Below are 5,137 nucleotides of genomic sequence, written 5' to 3'. Positions count from 1 at the left end.
TGTTGCAGGATAATTAACTAACAGGGATAAGGAGCTGTTGAAATGTTAAGTGTCATTACCTGGGTGACTCATTTTTTAGAGTAGCTTTGGAATGTGATTGGCAACGTTTGTGAGTCACAGTGGGGAAAGTTTCCAGTGTTAAAACTCTAGATTTCTAACCATGCTGAACTCAGAGTGTAGAGCACCAATTAAAATTTCAGGATGCTAAGTTTGAAGCTCAACTTTTCAGAAGACATTAAGCTACCTGTGGAGTAGTGCGATATCTAGAAAGTACACCTTCAAATCTGCTGTTACCACAACTCATGAAAAATCTTGAGTTCTAATCATTCAGTAAACAGCTTCCTATTCCTTGTGCTGTTTCTCAGGAGGTGTGGTATAAATTGGCCATAAGAAAGGAAATTTAAACATTGATCTTCTACTATTAAGTATTAACTAAGGAAGTTAGCATTTATTTATTTCATGATATTTAGTGTTAACTATAGAAGATGAAAGTCAATGGTTTTTAACCTTCAAGAAATCAATGTTACTTGTACAGAAGAAACTATTTCACCTAAAACAGAAAAGGACAATAGAGGTTTAGTTTAATCAAGTGTTAACTTTTGAGATACTGGCAAAAAATGATGCCCTAGTTTTGATATGTAAAAAAGATCTCAGAGCAGGTTTGACAGAGATGAAAAGTGCCTAAGATGTGGGTAAGTAGATTAAAAGACATAGTACATTTCAAAAGGAGGAGCCCATGAAAGAATCTCATAAAAAGTAAAATTTCATTTTCTCTTTATTTTCTTCATTTTCTCCATTCATGTTATTTTAGGTCCTGCAGAGAATATGTAGTTTGACCATAAATGCTGTTGAAAGATCATATAGTTAATGCTATAGTTTTTTAAATGTAGAAATGGCTTCAGGCTGGATCTAACTGAGCAGTCACTGTAAAACATACTAAACCACAGAGAACTTGTGCAGACAAGGATTTTTAAAATGTATTTGTATGATCTCTTTGGAGTAGAGGGCACTAACAACTTAATATGGCATTTTTTTTTCTGAAATCAACAGAAATACAGGCAGTTGGATTAGAGGATTAATGGCGCCCTCATTGCCTGAACTGTTTTTTTTTTTTTTAATACTCTTTTAGGCAGCATATTGTGCACAAGGATTTCTGATTATCTTCTCTGTTATGCTTAGCAAGAACTTCGGAGGACTACGAAATTGGACTCAGTAGGTGTTTAAAAAAAAAGTTTATCAAATGCTGATAAGAATCTATCCAATTCTGGAGATTTTCCAGTTCTAAGGAAATTGCTTTATTTGCAGTATCTTTATTCCCTTGTTAACTGATTGTGTTTGTGTATTTCAAGTATGTGTCACTTGACAGGAAAAAACTATGTACTAGAAAGACAAGTTATGACAAAAAATTGTTGCTGCCTTTCTCTGGTGCTGTATGACTCCTTTATTTGTATGTATGCTCTCTACCAGAGGACTACACTCCTTGATAGGTCTTTGGAATAGTCATTAACACCTTCATGTGGGGGCAAGATACACGGGCATCCTGTGGGGAGGATAACGAGTTTGGGATTGTATTGCAGGGATTGCATTCCAGCTTCCAATTTTTTTCTATATGTCACTCATATGCAAGTAATTCTTGAGCAAACCATTCCCCATCTGTTCAGATCTTGTTATAACAAACTCAGCCATGACAGATTATGGTACATAAAACAGAATAATAAACTTTGCTCAGCTGGATGTACAAAGTAAGGTGAGAAAGGATACACAGGGCCCTCTGGCTACAGAAAGCTGCAACCAGGGGAGGAGCATTTTCTATGGGAAGTGTGAAAGGTATGGAAAGGGAAGGAAATGCAGGGCTGCCTCTTTGATAAACCACTTCTCCTGCCTGCTGATTAATGTAAACAGGCAAATTAGAGCTTTGTCCTGAGCTGTGTGTCCTCAGGTACAGCCCTCTGCTGTCTCACCTCATAAATGTCTGCATAAAACCCAAGATCCTCACAGAGCAGAATACAGGCTAGATAATGTGGCTGCCATCACGAGACGTGGCATAAAGAAAAATCCCATCATTGTGAGTTGAATAATCTCTCTAGTATATTCCAATGAAAAGACCATTTCGTTCATGACAGTTCTAAGATTTCCATAGACTACCTCTTTGAAGAGCGATTTTCAACTCTAAAGCAACCATGAGTTCACTTTTGCAGGAGCATCCTGGAAAAAGGGTCTTGTTTATAACACTTTGCTCCAAATTTTTGCCCTTGCAGGAAAAGGAACAGCATGTGTCATGAAAGTCAAAGTGAAGTTGGCATTTTTAACACCAGTGATATTGAAGAAATTGCTGTGTAGGTCACCTGTGTACCCCTTTCCAGGGGTAAGCTGTACTCTCCAATTAAGCTGATGTGACCTCATGCTGCACCTCTCCTGTCCTGAAATAGTGAGCCAGTGGCCTCCTTTGTATTGCTTAGGCAAAAAAATGCTGGGGGTTCATTTTTCTTGTTTTTTTTTTGTTGTTGTTATTGTTTTGTTTTTTTCTAAGTTGGGTAGGCTACTGTTGATGCATAGACTTTCCTTGGGAAAATCCACTGAACACCCCTCCTCCCCCACCCCCTCACCTTCCCACATCTATCACCAGGTTTACCCTTTAGTGTGTTGCAGAACTAGGCAGATCAGCAACTAGTGCATTTAGAAAATAAAAGAGTGAAGAAAATGAAACTATAATACTCAATGCAGTGGTTTCTCTCTCATCTTCCATTCATGGTCATCTTCAAAGAGAGGAGAAGGCCCATTACTCACATGTTTTCACAGCTATGTGGGTGTGTGCTAGGTGGTCATTATGCAGTTCATCAAAACAATCTAGAGTATTTCTTCTGAGAGGTGCATTATTCCTGGGCGATAAGACTGGACTTCAAGACTTCAACATAAAGAGGGTAGACTGCCATATATCTAAACAGAGTTCTAGAGCCAACAATGGGCAAAAGGTAGCATTTGAAATGACAACAGTTGAAAACAATTCCAGAAATATTGACAGATACCAAAGCAGCTCAATAAACCCTAAGAAGATTCATGTGTTTAAAATAGGCAGTTAAAAGTCTTTGTCACCTGAAACCACTATTTAGATTATCTGCAAGTCTGTTTCCATTGCACCTTTTCTCTTGATTTTCAGATACATTGTCCTGCCTCTTAAACATGTTCATGTTTGTGATTTTTTAAGGTAAAAAGAACCACAGAAAGTGTAAATGATGATATATTCTCCCAGGGAATGTTTAATCTGTCGGCAGATAATGAGCAACTGATCACTACAACCAAGGGTTTGCATGTTCTCTTTTGAGATGTGGTCTCCGTAAGGCTCTGTTCACCTTTGAGTTATATCTGTTTGTAGAATATGGCATCCTTGGGCTTTTGACCTAGCTCTGGAAAACAGAGAGGTTCACTACTACCCTCTAGAGTTTTAGTTTTAGTTCTTTAGTTTCCTACTCAAATTCTTCAGGAGAGACTAGTCATAGGTTGACTCCTTCTGGTTGGATTTTGTTTTTAAAACACTGGGAGACCATAAGAGATTTCTTGCTGTTTTTAGCAGCTTTTGATCTAGATACCCATACTCCCATGCCACCACAAATTCAGCAAATGCCCGGGGGAGGAACCAACTGTGTGTTTGGGGGCTCTACTATATTCTAATCTGTTTTATCAACCTGTCTATTAAAAAAAAAAGAAAACAAAAACACTATTTTCTCTTTCCTTTAGTAGACACCCTCAGCTTTTGCCAAGTCTGATTATTGGCCCTCATCCAGAATGGAAAAATACCTTCAAGGGAGAAAAATCTCCTGTGAATTTCAACACATCAAAAATCCAAGTTAACTCCTCCCTGAATTTTAATTCATTTGGTCCTCATTAATTTTGCAGCTCTCTCATGTCTTTTAAAATAGGGTATATATAAGTCATCTATTTTTATTAGCGGTTGCAAACAAACTTTGTTGACTTGATGTGATCTACTGCATTCTACCCCGAAAGAATAACTGAAAAAAATCCACACTTATATCACGTTAAAATGGCAGCAGAGCAAGAATACTAAACCTGGAAAGAGATGGAAAAAGGCCTTGGGGTCTAAGGTGGGGCACATCCAGGTGATAAGTAGGTGAACAGCCAACTCCCTGATAGGCCATAAAAAGTCAACTGGCAGAGTGGTAAAATAGGAAAAAAGCTAGACACAGGAATGAGAAATTTTAGAAAATAATATATGTAAAGAATTAAGCAGGAAAACAACGTTAGGAAAAATTCACAACAGATACTAGATTCAAAAAAATCGGTTTGATTTCAAACATCTTTGTACAGTGGCAAAAGCTGGAATAAGAAAGGCATGACCTTATGTCTAAAGGAGCTGAACTATTGGCAGTGACTGAAGCAAGGTGCAGGTGTTGGAACAGGTGTTATAAGCACAATTTATGTTTCTAGTCCTGTTGCACAGATCAGAGTGAATTCAAAAATGTAACCTGGCTTAATCTTGTAGTTTTTGAGCTCCTTAGCTGAAATTATGCAAAGCCAGATTCTCTTGTCCAAAGGTACAATTATTCTCAGAGCCTGAGACAGAGAGGAAAAACGGACCTGCACACGAGGGCTTCCTTTTCTCCCAAATTCTGCCTTGATGTGGTTTCCTACAACTTACCCTTGATCAGTCCTCTTTGACCCTTATCTGTCACTTGTCTTATTACTTACTTGTGTGTTTTAAAGTGCTACAACTTAGAAGCTGAGTTTAAATCGCATTTCCCTTGGTCAAAAACTTTCTCTGGCAAAGAGAAAAGACTGTAAAGATCAAAATAAATGGAAATCAATACAAAGAAGACATTGAAATTCTGGCCCATTTGCCACTGTCACCTGCATAGGGCAGGCAGGCTGGTATCAAAGAGAAAGTAAGATTTGTTGGTAAAAGGTACAATAAAATTTATAAAGTCAGGGGTCTTCATTGGAGTTGAGTGGTCCCAGCTGTGGCAGTTTGGCCTTTCTCAATGCTGCCCTCTGCTGGCCATAATGTGACCTGCAGGAGATCTCACTAAATGTAGGCTTAATTTACAAGCCTCTGTCCTTCTGCACCCTGCAGGGATAGGGAATGAGGAGTGAAGCTCCGTGGCTTTCTCACTGATGCAAACAA

At 38.3% G+C, this 5,137-nt stretch overlaps 1 annotated feature.

Moving 5' to 3' along the window:
- Nucleotides 1,293-1,872: an enhancer, noted in NCBI's record as "NANOG hESC enhancer chr2:22582020-22582599 (GRCh37/hg19 assembly coordinates)". NCBI's record gives its function as "activates a minimal SCP1, AML or CMV promoter by ChIP-STARR-seq in naive H9 embryonic stem cells {active_cell/tissue: H9 hESC(naive)}" and the evidence as "EXISTENCE:reporter gene assay evidence [ECO:0000049][PMID:30033119]".

Source organism: Homo sapiens, chromosome 2, assembly GCF_000001405.40.
Source record: "Homo sapiens chromosome 2, GRCh38.p14 Primary Assembly".
Taxonomy (NCBI): domain Eukaryota; kingdom Metazoa; phylum Chordata; class Mammalia; order Primates; family Hominidae; genus Homo; species Homo sapiens.
This window is presented reverse-complemented; position numbering and strand designations above follow the sequence as displayed.